The 23271-nt window shown below is 55.5% G+C and overlaps 3 protein-coding genes across 6 annotated transcripts, besides 6 other annotated features; all 3 read left to right on the top strand.

Annotated features, from left to right (window-relative positions):
- TSC22D4 (TSC22 domain family member 4) lies at window positions 117–12812 on the top strand. 4 transcript variants are annotated; one of them, NR_130119.2, is made up of 5 exons: window positions 117–537; window positions 1872–2054; window positions 4891–5057; window positions 11731–11779; window positions 12163–12812. NR_130119.2 is itself a non-coding variant. In NM_001303043.2 (5 exons), the coding sequence occupies exons 2-5, from the start codon at window positions 1293–1295 to the stop codon at window positions 12370–12372; spliced, it is 1188 nt and encodes a 395-aa protein (NP_001289972.1). In that variant the 5' UTR covers window positions 117–537; window positions 1127–1292; the 3' UTR covers window positions 12373–12812. The 4 variants fall into 4 exon arrangements, 2 of the variants coding, with proteins under 2 accessions (NP_001289972.1, NP_112197.1); NR_130118.2 differs by having other exon boundaries at window positions 1869–2054; NM_001303043.2 differs by having other exon boundaries at window positions 1127–2054.
- Window positions 117–22711, top strand: TSC22D4-C7ORF61 (TSC22D4-C7orf61 readthrough). Its single transcript, NM_001395846.1, has 6 exons — window positions 117–537; window positions 1024–2054; window positions 4891–5057; window positions 11731–11779; window positions 15645–15968; window positions 22346–22711. The coding sequence occupies exons 2-6, from the start codon at window positions 1293–1295 to the stop codon at window positions 22577–22579; spliced, it is 1536 nt and encodes a 511-aa protein (NP_001382775.1). The 5' UTR covers window positions 117–537; window positions 1024–1292; the 3' UTR covers window positions 22580–22711.
- Window positions 412–481: an enhancer, noted in NCBI's record as "active region_26368". NCBI's record gives its function as "activates an Ori minimal core promoter by ATAC-STARR-seq in GM12878 lymphoblastoid cells {active_cell/tissue: GM12878}" and the evidence as "EXISTENCE:reporter gene assay evidence [ECO:0000049][PMID:35858748]".
- Window positions 6061–6845: an enhancer, noted in NCBI's record as "H3K4me1 hESC enhancer chr7:100070109-100070893 (GRCh37/hg19 assembly coordinates)". NCBI's record gives its function as "activates a minimal SCP1, AML or CMV promoter by ChIP-STARR-seq in primed H9 embryonic stem cells {active_cell/tissue: H9 hESC(primed)}" and the evidence as "EXISTENCE:reporter gene assay evidence [ECO:0000049][PMID:30033119]".
- Window positions 6846–7632: an enhancer, noted in NCBI's record as "H3K4me1 hESC enhancer chr7:100069322-100070108 (GRCh37/hg19 assembly coordinates)". NCBI's record gives its function as "activates a minimal SCP1, AML or CMV promoter by ChIP-STARR-seq in primed H9 embryonic stem cells {active_cell/tissue: H9 hESC(primed)}" and the evidence as "EXISTENCE:reporter gene assay evidence [ECO:0000049][PMID:30033119]".
- Window positions 9640–9789: a silencer, noted in NCBI's record as "silent region_18436". NCBI's record gives its function as "represses an Ori minimal core promoter by ATAC-STARR-seq in GM12878 lymphoblastoid cells {active_cell/tissue: GM12878}" and the evidence as "EXISTENCE:reporter gene assay evidence [ECO:0000049][PMID:35858748]".
- Window positions 9830–9999: a silencer, noted in NCBI's record as "silent region_18435". NCBI's record gives its function as "represses an Ori minimal core promoter by ATAC-STARR-seq in GM12878 lymphoblastoid cells {active_cell/tissue: GM12878}" and the evidence as "EXISTENCE:reporter gene assay evidence [ECO:0000049][PMID:35858748]".
- SPACDR (sperm acrosome developmental regulator) lies at window positions 15071–22711 on the top strand. The gene is made up of 3 exons (NM_001004323.3): window positions 15071–15368; window positions 15645–15968; window positions 22346–22711. The coding sequence occupies exons 1-3, from the start codon at window positions 15306–15308 to the stop codon at window positions 22577–22579; spliced, it is 621 nt and encodes a 206-aa protein (NP_001004323.1). The 5' UTR covers window positions 15071–15305; the 3' UTR covers window positions 22580–22711.
- Window positions 22067–22229: a silencer, noted in NCBI's record as "fragment chr7:100054725-100054887 (GRCh37/hg19 assembly coordinates)". NCBI's record gives its function as "represses an EF-1alpha promoter that drives an FKBP-Casp9 reporter gene in an ReSE screen in K562 erythroleukemia cells {active_cell/tissue: K562}" and the evidence as "EXISTENCE:reporter gene assay evidence [ECO:0000049][PMID:32094911]".
- Window positions 22712–23271: the final 560 nt, after the last annotated feature.

Genomic DNA, 23271 nt, shown 5'->3' with positions numbered 1-23271 from the left:
CGGGAAGCCCCAGGAGGGAGGGAGGGAGGAGGAAGGGGAGGAAGAGGGGAAGGAGGAGGAGGAGGAGGAGAGGAGCAGTCAGCAGGCCCGAGGAGGCAGGACTTCCTGGTGTGGGGGTTGTCAACAGCCCAGAAAGAGAAAGACGGAGAGGCAGAGACCCAGGGGAGCCGAGGAGCGGAGACACGGACCCAGCAGGGTCACGCGGGAGGAGACTCGGGACACCCACTCGCTGGCTGCCACCGGGAGCAGAGGGGGGCTCGGCCGCCCCCTCCCACATCAGTCTCCAGACCCTTGGGGCTTCAGAGGCCGCTCCTAGGCTCCTCGGAGGAGGCGCGGGTTTCTTCTTTTCCGGAGAGCAAACTTTCCTCGGAGATGCCTGGCAGGATGAGCCGCGGCCCCCGGAGAGGACGGGACAGCCTCTGATCGCCGCCTGCGTGCCCCGCCACTGCCCATGGCCAGGAGGCCCCAGGGAACGGACAGCCCGACCTCTTAGGCGCCGGGACCCTCAGGCTCAGATCAGTGGCCGAGGCCCCAGAGGTAGGGTTCAGGGCTGGGTGGGGCGCTGGGGGGTAGCCGGGCAGGGCCTGCCCCAGAGATGTGGGAGCTGGGGTGAGGGTGGGGGCTCGAGGCCCAGGAGAGGTCTCTCTGAGTGGCCGGGCCAGGCTGGGGAGCTGCTTCAGCCTGGTTCTCCCAGGCCCTGGAGTCCGAGCTCTTGGGACAATACGGGCCCCCTGAGTCAGAATCCCAGGCGAGAAATGCCCAACTCTGGGACTCATCTGCCTCTTTCTACTCTGAGTGCCTTCTTGGATCCAGTCCCCTCTGCCCTGGTCTCTGTCATCTCTTGCCTGTCTCTGGGTCTCTGACGGTTTCCCCTTCCCCCACTCTGCTCCCCGGAGAGGAAGCCCCGGAGGTGGCCTGCCCACTGGTTTCACACACACACACACACACACACACACACACACACACACACACACACACACTCTCTCTCTCTCTCTCTCTCTCTCTCTCCCCCTCTTTTTCCAGTTTGCAAACTCAGCTCTGGAGTTCAGCAGCAACAGCAGCAGGAAAAACCTGCCCCTGCTCCCCCCTCCCGCCACCTCCCCTCTCCTCTTCTCCCCTCACCCAGCAGGCACCCCCGGTTCCCGCCAGGCCCTCCTGCCATGTCGGACCCAGACGTCCCCAGGGGCTCGGATGTCCCCGCCATGTGGCCCCCTTGTTCCAGGGGTGCCTGAGCCCCTTCAAGGAGCCCCAACCCACCCCCAACCTTGGCCCAGCCCTGAGCCCCAGGGACCATGAGCGGGGGCAAGAAGAAGAGTAGTTTCCAAATCACCAGCGTCACCACGGACTATGAGGGCCCTGGGAGCCCAGGGGCTTCGGATCCCCCTACCCCACAGCCCCCAACCGGGCCCCCGCCCCGCCTGCCCAATGGGGAGCCCAGCCCCGATCCGGGGGGCAAGGGCACCCCCCGGAATGGCTCCCCACCACCTGGGGCCCCTTCCTCCCGTTTCCGGGTGGTGAAGCTGCCCCACGGCCTGGGAGAGCCTTATCGCCGCGGTCGCTGGACGTGTGTGGATGTTTATGAGCGAGACCTGGAGCCCCACAGCTTCGGCGGACTCCTGGAGGGAATTCGAGGGGCCTCAGGGGGCGCCGGGGGCAGATCTTTGGATTCCAGGTTGGAGCTGGCCAGCCTCGGCCTGGGCGCCCCCACCCCACCGTCAGGCCTGTCTCAGGGCCCCACCTCCTGGCTCCGTCCACCCCCCACCTCTCCTGGACCTCAGGCCCGCTCCTTCACTGGGGGACTGGGCCAGCTGGTGGTGCCCAGCAAAGCCAAGGCAGAGAAACCCCCACTGTCGGCCTCCTCACCCCAGCAGCGCCCCCCAGAGCCTGAGACCGGTGAGAGTGCGGGCACATCCCGGGCTGCCACGCCCCTGCCCTCTCTGAGGGTGGAAGCGGAGGCTGGGGGCTCAGGGGCCAGGACCCCTCCACTGTCCCGGAGGAAAGCTGTAGACATGCGGCTGCGGATGGAGTTGGGTGCTCCAGAAGAGATGGGGCAGGTAAGACCTGGGTTCTAGGGCTGGCCCATCAGCCCTGGCCTAACCTCTATCTTGAGCCTCCTTCCTCCTCCTCCCCCCCCTCTCCTCCTCCTTCTCCATCACTTTATAAGATCAGATAGCCCTCTTCTCTGTGCCTGCCAGGTCACTCTGAAGCCCCTTCCTCCTACTTCATTTTCTGTCTCAGCCTCCTTCCTGTTTTTCTGCACCCTCTCTCTTTCTCCCTGGCCTCTGATTCTCTGTCTTGGTCTTCATGTAGCCTGTAGCATATGTGGCCCCCTCATCAGGCCTTCTTCTGTCTTGGTCTCAGCCCCTCTGCCTCTAGGTGATGAGGGTGGAGGCCCCAGCTGGATAGCTGGGTAGCTGGGTCCCTAGGGGAGGAGCTGCCAGGATTTGGGGAGGAAAAGTAAAAGGTAGGCCTTGCGCGCTGCCAGTCTCTGCACTGCAGCCCCATCCTGAATGTGGGGGTCTTTCTTTTCCCCCAGCCACCCATCTCAGTCCTGCCTCCAGCTTTGCTGTAAGCCAAGTGTCACTGAGAAATTGGGTGGGGGGAACACCTCTCAGGGACAGGGAGGGGGCCTGCTGGTTGATCCATTTCACCCCCCAGTTGTCTGGCTCACCCCCGTCCATCTGAGCCTCTCTGTGATTGATAACTCGAGGGTGACCACTGTGGAGTGGGAGAGAAGAGCCCCAGAAGGGAGTTCAGTCCCATACTCTTTCTCCTTCCTGTCTCCAAAAGAGGAACAAGCCAGGCTGTGGGGGCAGGATGCCTGGGTCCCCATGGTGGGGGTGAGCAGCCAGAGATAGAAGGTTGGATACTTCTGTCCTGTGGGAGAATATAACACCTCGGAGGTCTGGGGAAAGGCAGGGAGTGTGAGGATGCGAACTCTTTCCCCTTCCTGGCCTTGGGCACAAACCACAGTATAAAAATAACCTGGGACTGGATGTCTGGGTCCTGTCAGGACCGGTCAGGACTGGCTCCCCCCAAACCCCTCCTGGCCTCAAGCTCACATCTCTCGTGATGCCCCCTCCTACCCCCCCTCCCCCAACTCTTCTTGAACTCTTGCATTCAGCACCCACCCCAGGGGAGAAGATGCTGTTTCTCTTCCTGTCCTGTCCCCAGACTCTTCCAAAGCAAACCCCCTTGGCCTCCAGCTTCCCTGCTCTCTGTCCTTAAGCCTGGCCTGAGCTTCTCTTGGGGCCACAGACCCTGCCTCTCTCTCTCAGTGCCCCCTACTCCCCAGCCTTCCCCCACCTCCTGACGGTCTTCTGTTTGCACGCATCTGTTTTGCTATTTCCTTGCCCAAAAGTCTGTCTCCCTTCCACGTCCCCTCATGCCTCTTCTCCCTCTTAACAGAGGGGAGTGGTGGAGAAGGGCCAGGGGACACCACCTGGGCCCCCTTCCTCTGCTCTGTCCCTTAACCACCCTGGACTCTCTGTTCTTGGCTTTTCTGAGAAGCTGGGGCCTCCCGGGGCCTCACAGAGGCGTCTTGTCATGTTCCTGTCGCCCCCGCCCTTTTTGCTGCTGCCCCCAGAGCCTGTTGGGCTATGCAGGTCCACGCCCAGGCTCCGCCTCCCCCCAGCTCCACAACCAGCTCCCCCCCCAACCCTAGGGCAGAGCGCAGGAGCAGAATTCCACCTGAGTCCGAGAAGTTTGAGAGGGGAAGCGAGAGTGGGGGGTGGGTGAGGGGATGGAGGAGCAGTTTCTGAGGATCCATTCATTCTACAAATAGCTACTGAGCAAACTGACCTTCTAGCAGGGGAGAGACACAATAAATACTTTAATTTCAGATAATGTTAGGTGCTATAAAAAAATGAAATAGTTCAGTAAACCAGTGAATGATGGGGAAATGCCTCTCTAAGAGGTGACATTGGAGTCATTTTAAGAAGGCAGCCTGGGTGCAGTGGTTCACGCCTGTAATCCCAGCATTTTGGGAGGCCGAGGCGGGCAGATCACTTGAGGTCAGGAGTTCAAGACCAGCCTGGCCAACATGGTGAAACCCTGTCGTCTCTACTAAAAATAAAAAAATTAGCCAGGTGTGATGGCAGGTGCCGGTAGTCCCGGCTACTCAGGAGGCTGAGGCAGGAGAATCAGTTTAACCTGGAAGGCATAGGTTACAGTGAGCCAAGATCACGTCACTGCACTCCAGCATGGGCGACAGAGCGAGACTCCAGTAAAGGCACAGGCTGGGAGTGGTGGCTCATTCTTCCAGCACTTTGGGAGGCTGAGGCAGGAGGATCACTTGAGCCCAGGAGTTTGAGACCAGCCGGGACAACATCTTGAGACCCTGTGTTAACCAAAAATAAAAAATTAGCCAGTTATGATGGTGCATGCCTGTAGTCCCAGCTACTCGGGTGGCTGAGGCTGGAGGATCGCTTAAGCTCAGGAATTCAAGGCTGCAGTGAGCCATGATTGTGCCACTTCACTCCAGCCTGGGTGACAGAGTGAGACTGTCTCAAAAAAATAAAAATAAAACATAAAAGAAGGCAGACACGCTGCGTAGCCTCTGATTAGGGGTCCCGGCCCAGTGGGAGCTGGGGCATTGGAGTCTATTCTGGGTTCCTCCGTCAGTCACCCCCTCCTCCCACTTGGGAGACTCTCTCTAATGTCCTATACACCACTCCTCCCATTCCTTAGGTTGACCCACTTCTTGCTTCTAGTACCTGCCTAATGCCTTCTCCAGAGCTGGAGGAGGGAAGGACTGCGGGGACAGGACTCCTGGGTCCTCGAAAGAGAGTGGGGAGGTGGAGAGGGAGGAAGGCTAATAGGCAAGTTTTAAGGCAGCTGGTTCCTTTCTTTTCTCTTTTCATGTGATGGTTCCTACCTCTCCGCCTCCAGGTGCCCCCACTTGACTCTCGCCCCAGCTCCCCAGCCCTCTACTTCACCCACGATGCCAGCCTGGTTCACAAATCTCCAGACCCCTTCGGAGCAGTAGCAGCTCAGAAGTTCAGCCTGGCCCACTCCATGTTGGCCATCAGTGGTCACCTAGACAGCGACGATGATAGGTAGGTGGGCTTCGTGGGGTGGTGGGGCGTGGGGTTCAGGTTCCCCGCCCAGCACCCGGGGTAGCTGTAAGAAAGTGCCTGGTAGGCATCCTTCCCCCAGGTTGAACTTGGAGAGGACCTCTTAGAGAAACCTGGCCTGGGCATAGCCACTGCACACAGTTGATTTCGGACCCACTCCCTCTCTGTGGAGAGGGCTGGGTGGGACTCCCTGGCTCAGAACTGTCAGGTCACAGACTTTTTTAGAGTCTGAAGGGAGTCATTGTTGTCAGATTCCAGAGCTCTTGCAGATTTAGAGATCATCTGGCCAACCCAGGAACCCACTGGCAAATGCATGCTCTAGACAGAATAGCAAATCAGGCCGGGGCACAGTGGCTCCCGCCTGTACTCATAGTGCTTTGGGAGGCCCAGGCAGGAAAATTGCTTGAGGCCAGGAGTTCAAGACCAAGCCCTGGCAATGTAGCGAGACCTCATCTCTAAAAAGAAAAAGAAAGAAAGAAAAAAAAAATATATATATATATACATAAAGGAAGTAGGCTGGGCATGGTGGCTCATGCCTGTAATCCCAGCACTTTAGGAGGCTGAAGCGGGCAGATCACCTGAGGTCAGGAGTTCGAGGCCAGCCTTGCCAACACGGTGAAACCCTGTCTGTACTAAAAATACAAAAATTAGCCAGGCGTGGTGGTACGTGCCTGTAATCCCAGCTACTCAGGAGGCTGAGGCAGGAGAATCACTTGAACCCAGGAGGCAGAGGGTGCAGTGAGCCGAGATCGCACCACTGCACTCCAGCGTGGGTGACAGAGCGAGACTCCGCCTCAAAAAAAAAACAACAAAAAAAACTGAAAAAGAATGGAAATCAGTTTCCTCCCAGTTCCATCTCCCTCTTTCTCTCCTAACAAAGGACTGGGACTCCCTAACAGCACCTGTGGAGCGTGACATCCTGATAGCCCACAGGGTCTACTTTAGGATCCTAAGATTTCTAGAACCGAGAAAGCAAGTCCCTAAGATGGGCCAGCTAGGAACAGAATCAGAGCTAGGAACGGCAAAGGGGCAGGGGCAGCACTGCAGAGAGCGACTTTCTGGGGTTCTCCCTTTAGGGGACAGTGCTCTGTTGGGTGGGTTTTCAGGGCCAGGTGTCACCATTCCTAAGAAAGCCAGCAAGCTGAAAAGGGAGGCCCAGAATCGTGAGTCAGAGATAGCCAGGCTGCCTGCTTCTCCCCGGGGACTGATAGGAACCGGGCAGAAGGGCTGGGGAGTCACCGCTTTTCTTTTGGAGGGAGAAGTGGGACTTCCCGTGGGAGGTTTTCAAGGGGAGGGACTTCCTGCTTGGAAGGAAATTGGGGGTGGGGCTTCGAGAGTGGGTGAGTGGGTGCCTGAGGGACCAATTCCAGATGGGAGTCGCTCCTTCCTGTCCTCCCCAGATCAGGGGCCACTCGCTGGGATCAGGGACTCAAGCCCACCACTGATAGGGTCCTGCGGCCTCAGGGAGGATAGGGACCTGGCAAAGGAGGTGGCCAGGAGCTGGTGGGACGGAGGGCAAGAGTGCCAGTGCTGGGTGGGGCTGGGCGGGGCTGGGCAGGACTGGGTGGCTTCTGCACGCCCCATTCCCACTCTCAGGAATGTGCGAGGTGTGAGGTCGGCCAGGGCTGGGAGAGTCACCTGCCGCCATCACTGCTATTCTCAGCGTTTCCCGCCCTCTCCCTCTCCCACTTGGGAGGTTCCCCGGCAAGAGGACTCCCCGTCCCTCCCCCACCCCTGTTGAGTTCACAGCCCAGCCTCCTGCTGTCTCTGTCTTAGAGGATTCAACCTCCTGAGGCCTCCGTCTTTCCCCTGTACCCTCCCTCCCTGCCTCCCTCCATCCCACCCCCTCCCTGCACACCCCAATCTGACCGGTCCGGTTCCCAGCCTCCACTTCACCCTGCTGTGCTCCAAGGCTCTTGGGGATCTGTCCCAGCCCAGCCCCTCAAGCCCCACCCTGCCAGGCCAGCGGGTTTGGGTTGGGCCACCCCCTGCCCCCTAGGAATGGGACATGTAGGCCCCACCTCTCCTGTCTGGTGTGCACAGGGCTGGCAGGACAGGATGCCAGTGGCCTGGGACCTCTCTCTTAAGAGGGAAGGTGGGCTGAGATGTTCAGTGCCTGGATCACAGGGAGGGAGTTGGGGACGCCTGACCAGTCCCTGAATCTGGGGATGGGCGAACAGAGGGTGCAGGTGAATCTAGAATGCTCACGTGCCCCAGGGCTGGAAATCCTTGTCCCCTCCCGGCAGGCAGGAGGTAATTAAGGTGTGAAGAAGTGGATGGAAGGAATGGGGGTGGGGGCAGTGACCGGCCTGGGGGATCCAGGCATTATACAGAATGGATCCCAGGGACTTGGGAAAGAAAAGGTACATTTATTTATCCAGTGCCTCCCTTGGGTCCGGTACTGCCTTCTCCCTTCTAATCCTAAAAAGCAGTTCCATTCTCCCACTTGCCAGATGAAGTATCTGAGACTCAGAGAAGGAGGTTTTTTTTTGTTTTGTTTTTGTTTTTTTCTTTTTTAGATGGAGTCTTGCTCTGTTTCCCAAGCTGGAATGCAGTGGCACGATCTTGGCTCACTGCAACCTCTGCCTCCCAGGTTTAAGCGATTCTCCTGGCTCAGCCTCCCCAGTAGCTGGGACTACAGGTGCATGCCACCATGCCCGGCTAATTTTTGTATTTTTAGTAGAAACGGGGTTTCACCATGTTGGCCAGGCTGATCTCAAACTCCTGACCTCAGGTGATCCACCCACCTCGACCTCCCAAAGTGCTGGGATTACAAGCATGAGCCACCTCACCCGGCCAGGAGGGTTTTAGAAACTTGCCCAAGGGCCACCCAGCTAGTTTAAGTGGCTGGACTGCAGCTGGAGCCTGGGTCCAACTCCAAAGCCACACCTTCTCCACTGTCCTACTGGGATGCCTGTGTCCCAGGCAAAGAGGTGGCGGCAATGGTCTACAATATCCTTTCTCTCTAGGACAGTCAGGTACAGCTCTCCCAAGCAGGGCAGGGAGCCAGCCCCCCTTCCCCCTCCCCGACCTCCCCAGCCCCGCCCCAAAGACACCACAGATCCGGGACAGCATAGAGACAGGGCAGCTGGATGACACTTTCTTGGCCCCAGACCTAGGCCCTGGGGGATCCCCTGAACCCACTGGAGAGTGTGCAGGGCTGGCCCCTGTCCCCAAGATCCCAGGCTCCCCATTTCTCCCAGGTGTCCTGCTTTTTATCTCATCTTCATGTTGAGGCCGTTTTATTTGACCCTCAAAGAGGAAGACCAGCTTCTAGGGCTGTCCCCGCCCCAGGACCAAGAGTCCTGCAGGGCTAAGTCTCCCACTGTGCATGTCACACACTGCACAACTAACTCCAGGGGGTGCCGCTCATATTTGAAATCACAGTCAATGCTTGAAGTCACGACAGTTTTCCAGAAGATGGCATTAAGGATCTCGAAGAAGGGGGCATTTTCTAATCCATACAAACTTGCTTTTGGGCTTGTGGTGGAGGTCGATCCTGTCTCAGCAGCCCCTACTTTCCTCCCCCGGACCCTGTCAAAGAATTCTAGCACAGTGCCCACAACCCCTCGCTTTGGGGTCCTAAAGGGAAGGGCCTGCATTGCCAGAGCCCTGGTCCCTTGAAGTGTGTGTTAGAATGTTCCAATAGAGGCCTGGCACAGTGACTCACACCTGTAATCCCAGGACTGAGATGGGAGGCTGAGGTGGGTGGATCATGAGGTCAGGAGTTCAAGACCAGCCTGGCCAACATGGTGAAACCCCATTTTGCCGGAGGCTCCCCGGCAAAAATACAAAAATTAGCTGGGCATGGTGGCTCATGCCTGTAATCTCAGCTACTCTGGAGGCTGAGGCAGGAGAATCACTTGAACCCAGAGGTGGAGGTTCCAATGAGGGAAAATCCCGCCATTGCACTCCAGCCTGGGCAACAAGAGCAAAAACTCCCAGGCGCTAGACAAACAGAAGACAGTCACCTGTCGGCTAACAAACGTTTATTGCTGTATTATTCCTTTATCTCTGGTGAGAATGAACACCTTACTTGACATCTTTACCCCTGAGTCTCTGCCCAGCAGGGCCCATGTTCCTATCCCTGTGTATCCAACCCCTTTGGTCTCTGTGAGTGTTTAATGGGGTGGTGGCAGTATTGGGCTTTCTGTGGTGGCTCCATCTCCACCCAGGTGTTGCTGATTGAAATAGCTCGAAAATTACTTTGACCCTCCTGCTGGCAGACCCACCTCCACCCTTCAACTTCTCCTCTCCCACCACCCCAAGAGTCCCAGATGCCCTTCCCCCACCCACCCCATCCTGCTCGCTCAGGCCTAGTCACCTCCTTAGTTGCTCCACCTGTCAGCGCCTTCTGCACCCAGAGCTGGGATGAGAAATGGAAAATTCCCAGCTCCCTTGTGCTCCCTTCCTGGCTGCAGGACCTTATCCAGGGGTCACCTTGAATTGAGTGCTGATCCCCCTGCAGGAAAGCAAGTCTGAGCTGACAGCCAGGAGGGAGGGCTTACAAGGGAGTCCAGGGATGTGGGCTGCAGCGCCTTGAGGCCCCTGCTCCAAGGGGGGCCCAGCTGGGGGCTGGAGGGCAGGACTGGGGATCCCGCCACAGCGCCAGAGTGCAGGGGTGCAAGGGTGGGTCGGGAGCCTCAGGGCAAGAGCCTGGGGCCTGAGGGGTGGGAGAGGGAGCCTTGGAGGATGAGGTCAGCACAAGGGCCTGCGCAGGTGGGGCCTGAGAGTGGGGCTTGAGGGAGAGCCAGGTTCTGGGACCAGGAGCCCAACGTCGTGGAGCCAGCCTGGAGCCCGGCCCTGGGGGCTGTTGAGCCAGGCCTGAGTCGCCCTCTGGTGGCCACTTCCCAGACTGCAGCCAGACCCTGTCACCCCAGACTCCCAGCCCTCTTCCAAGCCCTGTTGCTCCTCTTCCCAGTGTCCCTTCTCCAAGCTCACTTCCCTTCCTCTCCTCAAACCCTCGCTTCCTCTGAGACCCCAGACCCAGGTCCCAGGCCCATAGGCGATTTTTTTTTTTTTTTTTTTAAGACAGAGTTTTGCTCTTGTTGTCCAGGCTGGAATTCAGTGGCACGATCTCGGCTCACTGCAACCTCCGCCTCCCAGGTTCAAGCGATTCTCCTGCCTCAGCCTCCAGAGTAGCTAGGATTACAGGCACCCCCCACCATGCCCAGCTAATTTTTTGTACTTTTAGTAGAGCCAGGGTTTCACCATGTTGGCCAGGCTGGTCTCAAACTTCTGACCTCAGGTGATCCACTCGCCTCAGCCTCCCAAAGTGCTGGGATTACAAGCGTGAGCCACCACACCTGGCTTTTTTTTGAGACAAGATCTCACTCTGTCGTCCAGGCTGGAGTGCAGTAGCACGATCTCGGCTCACTGCAACCTCCACCTCCTGGGTTCAAGCGATTCTCCTGCCTCAGCCTCCTGAGTAGCTGGAATTGCTGGCACCCTCCACCACGCCTGGCTAATTTTTGTATTTTCAGTAGAGATGGGGTTTCTCCATGTTGGCCAGGCTGGTCTCAAACTCCTGACCTCAAGTGATACACCCACCTTGGCCTCCCAAAGTGCTGGGATTACAGGTGTGAGCCACCACGCCTGGCCTTTACGCTGTATTCATCTTCTAGGGCTTTGGGCTCAGTTTCTGTTGCCATGGTAACCTTTCCCATTTTTGGTCTTCTCTGGAGACTCAGGGACCCTCTGGCCAGATCCCAGGGGTCACCCATGATGTGAGCCTTGTGGGGTTTTTTGGTGGGAGAGCGCTCATGATCTATGGAAGACCACGAGCACGTCAGAACGCCCCCTACCCCAGCCACCTCCACCCTCTTTCCCAAGGCCTTGAGTGACGGAGGGGACAGAATGGGGTCGGAGGTGGCGAGGGGCCTCCGAAGGCCAGCCCCTTCCTCTCCCTTCACACCCTTCACTCCCCGCTCAGACCCAGGCTTCTGCCCCACGCCCCTCCCCTGGCCCAGCCACCAGCTGACTTCCTCGGCCGGCCCCCTCCCCTCCACTCTGGGATTGGTGCCAGGGTGAGAAGGGGACACTGGCACTGACCGTGTCTGGGAATTCCCGCCCACCGAGGAGCTGAAAGGAGGGGGGGTCCCCGTGTCCCCAAGGAGCCAATAGCAGCCAGGCCTTGCCCTTGGGGGGGTGGTGTATATCTTTCAGGCCAGCACCCCCGAGGCACTGTCTCCTCTCTGCCTGCCTGGCACCAGCCAGACCCTGCTCTGCCCGGGGGGCTCTGAGCCCCCCAGGCATTCCCTTCACTGCATCCCTCTCCATTGGGGGGGTGTCTAAGGACCCTTTCCCCTTGGGCATGGCCCAGCCAGGGGTCTCTGTCAAGTCCCTGGTGTCGTCTTATGAGACCCGAGTGGTGGGGATGGCTCCGGGGCTGCCCCGAAAAAGGGGCTGTGCCTCTTCCCCTTGCTCTCCCCGGGGTGCATCCCCCATCCGAGGGACATCTGGGCCCCCGCCCCACCGGGGCCTGGGAGGCCCTGGGCAGCGGCCTTCAACCCGCAGGGGGATGGACAAAACCCTCCTCTCCCTCATTCTCTACTGTCACAGGTACAGGGGGGTGTGGGCGGGAGGCTGTGGTCCAAGAAACCAGCACCTGGGAAGGCTTCTCCTCTCCTCCCCTCACCTTCCTGTGTCTCTCCAGTGGCTCCGGAAGCCTGGTTGGCATTGACAACAAAATCGAGCAAGCCATGGTAAGAGAAGCCATCTTGGTCCCAGGAGGTCCTGGCCCCCTTAAGCCATCCCTCTGCCCCAGCCCTGTCCTCTTCCTTACCAGGGAACACCAACTCCCAGCTCCTCCGTCCCTCTCCCTGCTGGGCTGCTGGGCATCCTCTGCCCCCTCCTGCCACCACCTCCACCCTTGACTTTGCCCAGCCTCTAGTCTGGCTACTGGTCCCCATCTCTGTCTTTGAGCCCTGACTCTGCCTCTGTCCCTCGTCCTTTTCCCCTGTCCCTTCCCTGCTTTGTCCCTCATCCTCTGGACACTGGGGACTGTCTCCCACCCCAGCCCTCAAGGCACTGGGCAGGGGATGAGGCACCCACCCCGTTGACGCTGTGCCTGTCCCGGGGCCCCCAGGACTTGGTGAAGTCCCACCTCATGTTTGCGGTCCGGGAGGAGGTGGAGGTGCTGAAGGAGCAGATCCGGGAATTGGCGGAGCGGAACGCTGCGCTGGAGCAGGAGAATGGGCTGCTGCGCGCCCTGGCCAGCCCGGAGCAGCTGGCTCAGCTGCCCTCCTCGGGGGTCCCACGGCTTGGGCCCCCTGCGCCCAATGGGCCCTCCGTCTGAGCCTCCCTTCCCTTACAATGTGCCTTTGGGGCTGCCCGGCCTTGCGTCAGCCGCCTGCCCCCTCTTCCTATGCAGCTTTAATGTCCCCGTGTCCCCGGGGTGGGAGTTCAAGGCTCAGTAATGGCCTGGTCCCCCGGCCCCTGCCCCATCTCCTCATCATCCCCAGCCTTGATGGAGGAGGGAGGGCTTCAGGACGGGGCGTCAGAGGGAGCCCCCTCTGGGAGGGAACCAACCCCCACCCTCCCTCCTGGGACCCCCCAGCAGTAGACGGCTTGGGGGAGTCGGAGGCTCCCCGGCAGACACCCCACCCCCATCTTGTTCCCTTGAGGTGCCTCCTCTCCTCTGCCCAGGGGAGGGAGTGTGGACAGTATCTGGAAGTTCTGGGATTCAGGTTGTTATTAAAATAATAATAATAATTAAAAACTCTGAAGAAACTTGAATTTGGAGGTTGACATCTCGTTCGTTGCTTGTGTTCAGACTCAGGGGTCGCGCCTGCCATTTAGGGCTCCCCTGAGATCTTTTGCAGACTGGGGAGGTTTAAAGCGTGGGAGACGGAGGAATTGAGACAGAGGCTGGAGAAGGGAGCCAGCGGTTCGGGTCCTGGGAAGGGGCAAGTGAGGATTGGGGGTGGGGGGGCGTCTGCCCACGTGCTGGGCGGGGGGCTGGGAAACAATAAGGTCTTTGGTGGTTGCCCAAGATCCACCCCTGGCTTCCCAGTGTGTCCCCTCTGCGGGCTGGATCCGGGTGGCTGCTTGGGGGCGGGGCGGGGGGCCCTGAATGGGCCCCTTGTCTCGGGGCTGGGTGTGGGCCAGGCTCCCCGGGCACACGGTGCCCTTGCCAGGCCTGGCCAGCCGCCGTGGCTCCCACCCCCGGCCAGCTGAGGACGGGCCCTGTGGGTGAGCTGGCCCCTCCCTGGCAGCCTGGGCTCCGGTCCCAGGCGGAAGAGTCAGCAGCAATGGAGAAGGACCCCATCTAGTGGGGAAGAGGCGAGAGCTGCAGCTGTAGCCCCAGGAGGCCCCTAGCCCCGGGATCCCCTGGCCCCAGCAGCCTCCAAGGAGGCTGACCTGTCTTGGAGTGCCTGACTCTCTGCCTCCTTAGGTTTCCCTAGGTTCATAACCTTGGGCAACTTCTTTGGTTTTTCTTTTTTTTTTTTTCATTTCTCCTTTCTTTTTTTGAGACAGGGTATTGCTCTGATGCCCAGAGTGCAGTGGCACAATCACAGCTCCCTGCAGCCTCCACGTTCCTGGCTCAAGTGATCCTCCCGCCTTGGCCTCCCTGAACTATAGGTGTGCGCCACCACGTTCAGCTAATTTTCTTTATTTTTGTAGAGATGGGGCCTTGCTATGTTGCACAGGCTGGAGTGCAGTGGTGTGATCATAGATCACTGCAGTCTTCAACTCCTGGGCTCAAGTGATCCTCCCACTTCAGCCTCCTAAGTAGCTGGGACTACAGGCATGTGGCACTATGCCCAGCTAGAGTCGAAGTTTCGCTCTTGTCACCCAGTCTGGAATGCAGTGGTGAGATCTCAGCTTACTGCAACCTCCACCTCTCAGGTTCAAGCGATTTCCATGCCTCAGCCTCCTGAGTAGCTGGAACTACACGTGTGCACCACCACACCCAGCTAATTTTTTTTTTTTTTCGTATTTTTAGTAGAGAAGGGGTTTCACCACTTTGGTCAGGCTGGTCTCAAACTCCTGAACTCAAGTAATCTGCCTACCTCAGCCTCCCAAAGTGCTGGGATTACAGGCATGAGCCACTGCGCCTAGCCTAAATTTTTTGGTAGAGACCATCTCGCTATATGGCCCAGGCTGATCTCAAACTGCTGGCTTCAAGTAATCCTCCCACCTTGGCGTCCCAAAGTTCTGGGATTACAGGTGTGAGCTACCACACCTGGCTCTCTTAAGTTTTTTCCTTCCTTGCTTCCTTCCTTCCTTCCTTCCCTCCTTCCTTTTTTGTCTTTCTTTTTTGTTTTTTTCTTTCCTTCTTTTCTTTCTTTTGTTCTTTTCCTTCTTTCTTCTTTCTCTCTCTCTCTCTCTTTCTTTCTCTCCTCTCTGTCTCTCTCTCTTCCTTCCTCCCTCCTCTCCCTTCCTTCCTTCCTTCCTTTTTTTTTTTTTTTTTTTTGAGACAGGGTCTCATTCTGTTGCCCAGGCTGGAGTGCAGTGGCACAATCATGGCTCACTGCAGCCTCCACCTCCTGGGCGCAAGCAATCCTCCTGCCTCAGCCTCCTGAGTAGCTGGGACTGCAGGCACACACCACCACTCCCAACTGATTTAAACTCTTTTTTTGAAAAATTTAAACATAGTGAGTTGGGGGGAGTCTCACTATGTTGCCCAGGCTGGTCTTCAACTCCTGGCCTCAAGTGATCCTCCTGCCTCAGCCACCCAAAACACTGGGATTACAGGCATGAGCCACCATGCCCGGCCCCCTTCAGCTTTCCTGAATTTCAGATTCCTCTTTGATGAAGTGGCACTAACAATAATACCTATCTTGAAGGGCTGCTGTGAAGGACTGCAGGACGTGATGCAGGAACAGTGCTTATTAGTTTGTTACGTGTTAGTTTATTTTCCCTGGATCTGAGCGAAGAAGAGCCAGGGTGGAAGAGATGGACTCTGTGGGTCTGGGCAGGGCCTCGGGGGTTGGGGTCGGGGCCAGGCAGCCTCACAATGGTCTAGAACTCTCCCTCACTGTAGGTTCTCACCTACTTCGACTCCTCTCCCTGTCCCAGGGAGGGGAGAAAAGGTCTGGGATTCATTGCCAGGAGGGGCTTCCCCCAGGATTTCCTACTTCTTTCTTTACTGCTGTGCTTGAAGCTCACAGGAGACCCCTCAAGAGGTGGTCACCGGCCCACAGCCCACCCCATCCCCCACCCGCCACCCCCACCGTACCAAATGCTAGCTCTGCCCTTTCTTCTGTGTTTTTCCCATCAAGAGAGATGGTTGTGGTCATGAAGTTCTTCCGATGGGTTAGACGGGCTTGGCAAAGGATTATTTCCTGGGTGAGTTTCTGAGACCACTCTGTCCTCATGATGCGCTGGGATGAGGGCATGGGTCGCAGCAGCCCCTTACTGCGTGGGTTCCCTCCCTTCCTGGCCTGTGGCCAAACAAGATGGAGTGGGGAGGAAGGAAAGGACAGCTGGGGAGGGGCTGGAGGAGAAGGAAGAGAGGCCAGGAAACTCACTGCTCCATCCCTTTTGTGCCTTCTTTTCTGTGGATGGTGTTGTCTCTGCCCTGCCCCTCTCTCCTGTCTCTCCTCTCTGTGTCTTGGTTCTCAGGTTTTCTTCTGGAGGCAAAAAATTAAACCAACCATCTCAGGACACCCTGACTCCAAGAAACACTCATTGAAGAAGATGGAGAAGACTCTCCAGGTGGTTGAGACTTTGAGGTTGGTCGAGCTCCCAAAAGAGGCTAAGCCCAAGTTGGGTGAGTCCCCCGAGCTGGCAGATCCCTGCGTGTTGGCCAAGACTACAGAGGAGACCGAGGTGGAGCTGGGCCAACAGGGCCAATCCCTACTGCAGCTGCCGAGGACGGCCGTCAAGTCTGTCTCCACGCTCATGGTCTCTGCCCTGCAGAGCGGCTGGCAGATGTGCAGCTGGAAGGTCAGCACCATCCTAACACCCCCTCCCTCTTTCCCCAGCCCCCAGTGACTCACCCCTCCCTCTGATTACTTGTTCAACAATTGTTTCCTGGCCTGGTGCAGTGACTCACGCCTGTAATCCCAGCACTTTGGGAGGCTGAGATGGGAGGATCACTTGAGCTCAGGAATTCGAGACCAGCCTGGGCAACATAGCAAGACCCTGTCTCTTAAAATATCTTTTTCTTTTTCTTTTTCTTCCTTTCTTTTTTTTTTTTCTCCCTGAGACAGAGTCTCCCTCTGTCGCCCAGGCTGGAGTGCAGTAGCGTGATCTCGGCTCACTGCAACCTCCACCTCCCCGGTTTAAGCTATTCTCCTGGCTCAGCCTCCCGAGTAGCTGGGGACTACAGACTCCCACGCCTGGCTAATTTTTGCATTTTTAGTAGAGACAGGGTTTCACCACGAGGCCAAGCTGGTCTCGAACTCCTGGCCTCAAGTGATCCACCTGCCTCAGCCTCCCAAAGTGCTGGGATTACAGGCATGAGCCACCATGCCCGGCAAATGTTTTCTTTCTTAGCCAGGCATGGTGGCTCATGCCTATAGTCCCAGCACTTTGGGAGGCTGAGGCAGGAGGATCACTTGAGGCCAGGAGTTCAAGGCCAGCCTGGGCAACAAAGTGAGACCCCATTTCTACAAAAAAGTTAAAAATTAGCCAGGCTTAGTGGTGCCTGTATTTCCAGCTACTTGGGAGGCTGAGGCAGGAGGAACACATGAGCCCAGGAGTTCAAGGCTGTAATGAGCTATGATTGTGCCACTGCACTCCAGCCTGGGCAATAGAGCGAGACTCTGTCTCTTAAAAATATATATATATTTCTGGCCGGGCACGGTGGCTTACGCCTGTAATCCCAGCACTTTGGGAGGCCGAGGCAGGCTGATCACGAGGTCAGGAGATTGAGACCATACTGGCTAACATGGTGAAACCCCGTCTCTACTAAAAATACAAAAAATTAGCCAGGCAAGGTGGCAGGTGGCTGTAGTCCCAGCTACTCAGGAGGCTGAGGCAGGAGAATGGCATGAACCCGGGAGGCGGAGCTTGCAGTGAGCCGAGATAGCACCACTGCACTCCAGCCTGGGCGACAGAGCGAGACTCCATCTCAAAAAAAATAAATAATAAAAATAAAAAATATTTCCTATGCGTCCACCAAATGCCATGTACTAAAGATACAACAATGAACAAGACTTGCAGACTTGCAGGGCTACAGATGAGACAATAGGCATTGCTAGTTCAGTATCCACACATTGTTGAGTGTGACGTTGTCAAGCGGGCTGTAGGACCCCAGGAGAGAGGCATGTTATCCAAACCTAAGGAGTCAGGTGAGGCCTTTTTTTTTTTTTTTTTTTGAGACGGAGTCTGTCGCCCAGGTTGGAGTGCAGTGGCGGGATCTCGGTTCGCTGCAAGCTCCGCCTCCTGGGTTCACACCGTTCTCCTGCCTCAGCCTCCTGAGTAGCTCGGACTACAGGCACCCGCCACCACGCCCAGCTAAATTTTTTTTTGTATTTTTAGTAGAGGCAGGGTTTCACTGTGTTAACCAGGATGGTCTTGATCTCCTGACCTCGTGATCTGTCCGCCTCGGCCTCCCAAAGTGCTGGGATTACAGGTGTGAGCCACTGCGCCCGGCCAGGCAAGGCCTTCTTAACAGAAGTGAGGGTAAAGCTGAGGCCTGAAGGTGTTAGCTTGGCTTGAAAGGGTTGTTAGGGGAAGGTGGAGGGAGTGGGAGGGGTGTCCAGGGAGTAAGAATGGCAAATGTGTGGCCAGGCACAGTGGATCATGCCTGTAATCCCAACACTTTGGGAGGCCAAGGCAGGAGGATCATTTGAGCTCAGGAGTTCGAGACCAGCCTGGGCAACATGGTGAAACCCTCTCTCTACAAAAAATACAAAAATAAGCCAGGAATCGGTGGCTCACAGCTGTAGTCCCAGCTATTCGGGAGGCTGAAGTGGGAAGTCTGCTGGAGTCTGGGAAGCGGAGGCTGCAGTGAGCCGAGATCGTGCCACTGAGGCAGGTGGATCACCTGAAGTTAGGACCAGCCTGGCCGACATGGTGAAACCCTGTCTCTACTAAAAACAAAAACAAAAATCAGTGGGGTGTGGTGGTGCACCGCTGTAATCCCAGATACTTGGGAGGCTGAGGCAGGAGAATCGCTTGATCCTGGGAAGCAGTGGTTGCAATGACCCGAGATTCTGCCACTGCACTCCAGCCTGGGCAATACAGTGAGAGTCTGTCTCAAACAAACAGAAAAGAATAGCAGATGAGTGCAGAGCTGTCCCAAGGTGTGTGGGTTGGAGTGGAACGATCCTGAAGCCTAAAGTCAGCTGGTAGAAGGCAGGGTTGCCAAGTTGTGAGCTTTGGATTGGACCCTTAGAGCAATGGGAGCCCTTGAAGACATTTGAGCAGAGGAGTGACATGATCAAATGTTGATTTTGAAAGCTCACCTGCACTCATATTTGGGTAGGATTGTAAGCTTGTTCAGCCCAGCCTGGGCAACACAGGGAGACCCCATCTCTACAAAAGTAAAAAAATTAGCCAGGCATGATGCATGCCTGTAGTCCCAGCTACTTGGGAGGCTAAGGTGAGAGGACCACTGGGAGGTCAAGGCCACAGTGAGCTATATTTGTGCCACTGCACTCCAACCTGGGTGGCAGTGAGACACTCTCAAAAAAAAAAAAGGAAAATAGATAGCACAGCAACTCTGGAAAACAGGATGGTCATTTCTCTCTCTCTCTCTCTTTTTTTTTTTATGATGGAGTCTCACTCTCTCACATAGGCTGGAGTGCAGTGGCATGATCTTGTTCACTGCAACCTCTGCCTGCCAGGTTCAAGCAATTATCCTGCCTCAGCCTCCCAAGTAGCTGGGATTACAGGCACTCACCACCATGTCTGACTAACTTTTGTATTTTTAGTAGAGACAGAGTTTCACCATATTGGACCATGCTAGTCTCGAACTCTTGACTTCAGGCGATCCTCCCACCTCAGACTCCCAAAGTACTGGGATTACAGGCGTGAGCCACAGCGCCTGGCCAAGAGTGGTTATTTCTTATAAAACTAACCACGCAGTTATCATATGACCCAACAGTTGTACTCTTGGGCATTTATCCCAGATAAATAAAATCTTATGTTCACACAAAAATCTAAATGTGAGGCCAGGCGCAGTGGCTCACGCCTGTAATCCTAACACTTTGGGAGGCCGAGGCAGGTGGATCACAAGGTCAGGAGATCAAGACCATCCTGGCTAACACAGTGAAACCCCGTCTGTACTAAAAATACAAAAAATTAGTCGGGCGTGGTGGCGGGTGCCTGTAGTCCCAGCTACTTGGGAGGCTGAGGCAGGAGAATGGCGTGAACCTGGGAGGCGGAGCTTGCAGTGAGCTGAAATAGCGCCACTGTACTCCAGCCTGGGTGACAGAGCGAGACTCCATCTAAAAAAAAAAAAAAATCTAAATGTGGATGTTCACAGCAGCTTGATTTGTAATAGCCAAAATCAACCCATGTCCTTCAGTGGGTGAATGGTTAAACTGTGATACCTTCAAACCCCAGAATACTACTCAGCAATAAGAAGGGACAAACTGGCCAGGAGCAGCGACACACCTGTGATCCTAGCACTTTGAAACACCAGGCAGAAGCATCGCTCGAGCCCAGGGTTTCGAGGCCAGCCTAGACAACATAGTGAGACCCCGTATCTGCAAACAAACAAAACAAACACACAAATAAATAAAATTCTAAAAAGACGGAAAGGACAGGGCCGGGCGTGGTGGCTCATGCCTGTAATCCCAGCACTTTGGGAGGCCAAGGCAGGCATATCACCTGAGATCAGGAGTTCGAGACCAGCCCGGCCAACATGGTGAAACCCTGTATCTACTAAAAATACAAAAAAATTATCTGGGCATGGTGGTGGGCTACTCGGGAGGCTGAGGCAGGAGAATCGCTTGAACCTGGGAGGCGGAGGTTGCAGTGAGCTGAGATCATGCCACTGCACTCCAGCCTGGGCAACAAAAGTGAAACTCTGCCTGAAAAAATAAAGGCCGGGCACGGTGGCTCACACCTGTAATCCCAGCACTTTGGGAGGCCGAGGCAGGCGGATCTCGAGGTCAGGAGATCAAGACCATCCTGACTAACAGGATGAAAGCCCGTCTCTACTAAAAAAAAAAATACAAAAAAATTAGCCAGGCGTGGTGGCAGGCGCCTGTAGTACCAGCTACTCGGGAGGCTGAGGCAGGAGAATGGCGTGAACCCGGGAGGCGGAGCTTGCAGTGAGCCAAGATTGTGCCACTGCACTCCAGCCTGGGTGACAGAGGGAGACTTCGTCTCAAAAAAAAAAAAAAAAAAAAGGTAAAAAGGACAAACTATTGATACACACAGTAACGTGGGTGTGAATCTTGAGGGAAATTTTTTGTTTTGTTTTGAGACGGAGTTTCACTCTCATTGCCCAGGCTGGAATGAAGTGGTGCGACCTCGGCTCACTGCAACCTCCGCCTCCCAGCTTCAAGCTATTCTCCTGCCTCAGCCTCCCGATTAGATGGGACCACAGGTGCCCACCACCACACCCAGCTAATTTTTTGTATTTTTAGTAGAGATGGGGTTTCACCATGTTAGCCAGGCTGGTCTGGAACTCCTGACTTCAGGTGATCCACCCACCTTGGCCTCCCAAAGTGCTGGGATTATAGGCATGAGCCACTGGGCCCGGCCTCAAGGAAATTATACTGAGTGGAAACAACCAATCCTAAAAGGTTATATTCTGAATGATTCCGTTTATATTATCTACCACTCTTGAAATAACAAAAGTCTAGAAATGGCAAACATATTAGTGGCTCAGTGGTTTCCAGGGGCCACAGAGATAGGGGGAGAAGAGTGTAGTTATTAAAGGACAACATGAGGGACACTTGTGATGATGCAAATGTTCTGTATCTTTTTTTGTTTTGTTTTTGTTTTTTGCTTTCTCCTGTCTGATGGAAATGTTCTGTAGCTTTCTGTTTTGTTTTGTTTTTATGTTTTTGTTTTTTGTTTCTCCTGCCCGATGGAAATGTTCTGTACCTTGACTGTGGTAGTTGGATACATGAACCTGCATACTGGATAAAACTTGGTAAAATTATACACACACACACACACACACACACACACACACACACACACACACCAGTGAGTACAAGTACAACTGGGGAAATCTACATAAGATCAGTAGATTGGATCAATGTCAATATCCTGACTATGATATAATAGTATAGATTTGCAAGATTTTCCTATGAGGTGAACTCAGTAAAGGGTGCACAGGATCTCTATGATTTCTTCCAATTGCAGGTCAGTCAGTCTACAATGATCTCAAAACAAAACAAAACAAAAAAACAGTTTAAGCCGAGCGTGGCGACTCACGCCTGTAATCTCAGCATTTGGGAGGCTGAGGCAGGTGGATCACTTGAGCTCAGGAGTTCAAGACCAGCCTGGGCAAAACCCCATTTCTACAAAAAAAAAAAAAAATATATATATATATATACACACACACACACACACACACACACACACACACACACATATATATATATAAAAGTTAGCCGGGCATGGTGGTGCACGACTGTAGTCCCAGCTACTCAGGAGGCTGAGGTGGGAGCATCACTTGAACTTGGGAGGTGGAGGTTGCAGTGAGCTGAGATTATGCCACTGCACTCCAGCCTGGGTGACAGAGTGAGACCTTGTCTCAAAAAAAAAAAAAAAAAAAAGGCCAGGCATGGTGGCTCACGCCTGTAATCCCAGCACTTTGGGAGGCCGAGGCCGGCTGATCACTTGAGGTCAGGAGTTCGAGACCAGCCTGGCCAACATGGTGAAACCCCTTCTCTACTAAAACTACAAAAATTAGCTGGGCGTGATAGCGAGCACCTGTAATCCCAGCTACTCAGGAGCCTGAGGCAGAAGAATCGCTTAAACCCAGGAGGTGGAGGATGCAGTGAGCTGAGATCATGCCACTGTACTCCAGCCTGGGTGATAGAGCAAGACTCCATCTCAAAACAACAAAAAAAAGAAGAATAGAACTGATGGGCCAGGTGTGATGCCTCACGCCTGTAATCCCCAACACTTTGGGAAGCCAAGGCAGGAAGATCTCTTGAGCCCAGGAGTTCGAGACCAGCCTGGGCAACATAGCAAGACCCCGTCTCATTAAAAAAAAAAAAAAGGATAGAAATGACAAACATTTGATGCAACCTGAGAAGGCTTTCTGGAGGAGGTGATGTATGAGTTGGGCTGATGGGAGAGGTGGAATCAGGGAGCCCTTTGCTGTTTATCTATGGGTCGTTCTAGCGGCAGTTTCTCCCTAGACCCAGCTATTTACGCATGCACATCTTCTCTTTCTCTTACAGTCATCAGTGAGTTCTGCCTCAGTCAGCTCCCAAGTGAGGACGCAGTCACCTTTGAAGACTCCGGAGGCTGAGTTGCTGTGGGAGGTGTACCTGGTGCTGTGGGCCGTTCGGAAACACCTGCGCCGGCTGTACCGCAGGCAGGAGAGGCACAGACGGCACCACGTCCGATGCCATGCTGCCCCCCGACCCAACCCGGCTCAGTCCCTGAAACTGGATGCCCAAAGTCCCCTCTAGGGGGAACCCCAGACCCTTAGAGAGTCCTGACCTCACTCTTACCTGGGGTCCCATATCAGCCCCTTCATTCCATGTATTCCAGTTGTAAAACAAGTATCAAAATATTGGGAAATAAATATCAGATAGTTCTGAGTCAGTATGGAGTGTGTTTGTGGACGGCGGGAGGGGATGAGAGGAGTTTGGGTGGGTCAGGGAGAGACCCCTAAGGTGAGGGCCTAAATCCCAGTAGGGGTCACCTGTGGGTCTATTTGGGGGGAAGCATGGTCAGCACGTTTCTGCTCTGGGTCCCACCCCCTTCTTGGGGCCAAAATGCCTGTTTGTAACTCCACCTTTCCTTATAAGGACGGTAACAGCTGCCATTCACCAAGGACCCAGTCCCGTCAGCTGCTGTCCTTAGCGATCCTACAAGAAAGGTATTTAGGGTGGATTACGGGACTTGTCCAAGGCTCAGCAAAGGAGGCCTTGCTGGAAACTGCCAGCTCCCAGGGGTAGCCCACTACCCTGCCTCTCTGGTGCTGAAGGGCTTTGCCATGGGCTTGGCTGTGGAGAGTTGTGCGTCTGCAGACGCACATGGGGGCTGTGGGAGATGCATCCACGTGCTGTGAAGGAACTCCAGCCCCGCTGCCTGCTGCCCGCGCCTCACCAAGAGCTGAAACTACACCTCCAGGGGGCTCTACAGGGACCATGCTCAC

Source organism: Homo sapiens, chromosome 7 (assembly GCF_000001405.40).
Source record: "Homo sapiens chromosome 7, GRCh38.p14 Primary Assembly".
In the NCBI taxonomy this organism is placed as follows: domain Eukaryota; kingdom Metazoa; phylum Chordata; class Mammalia; order Primates; family Hominidae; genus Homo; species Homo sapiens.
The sequence above is the reverse complement of the archived record's forward strand: the minus strand, read 5'-3'. Positions and strand labels throughout refer to the sequence as shown.

Coding starts and splice junctions, on each gene's coding strand:
- TSC22D4 (NM_001303043.2), top strand. CDS start 1,293: ATGAGCGGGGGCAAGAAGAAGAGTAGTTTCCAAATCACCAGCGTCACC. Junction 5,058..11,730: donor CTAGACAGCGACGATGATAG/GTAGGTGGGCTT, acceptor GTGTCTCTCCAG/TGGCTCCGGAAGCCTGGTTG. Junction 11,780..12,162: donor ACAAAATCGAGCAAGCCATG/GTAAGAGAAGCC, acceptor CGGGGCCCCCAG/GACTTGGTGAAGTCCCACCT.
- TSC22D4-C7ORF61 (NM_001395846.1), top strand. CDS start 1,293: ATGAGCGGGGGCAAGAAGAAGAGTAGTTTCCAAATCACCAGCGTCACC. Junction 2,055..4,890: donor CTCCAGAAGAGATGGGGCAG/GTAAGACCTGGG, acceptor CTCCGCCTCCAG/GTGCCCCCACTTGACTCTCG. Junction 11,780..15,644: donor ACAAAATCGAGCAAGCCATG/GTAAGAGAAGCC, acceptor CTTGGTTCTCAG/GTTTTCTTCTGGAGGCAAAA.
- SPACDR (NM_001004323.3), top strand. CDS start 15,306: ATGGTTGTGGTCATGAAGTTCTTCCGATGGGTTAGACGGGCTTGGCAA. Junction 15,369..15,644: donor GGCAAAGGATTATTTCCTGG/GTGAGTTTCTGA, acceptor CTTGGTTCTCAG/GTTTTCTTCTGGAGGCAAAA. Junction 15,969..22,345: donor GGCAGATGTGCAGCTGGAAG/GTCAGCACCATC, acceptor TTTCTCTTACAG/TCATCAGTGAGTTCTGCCTC.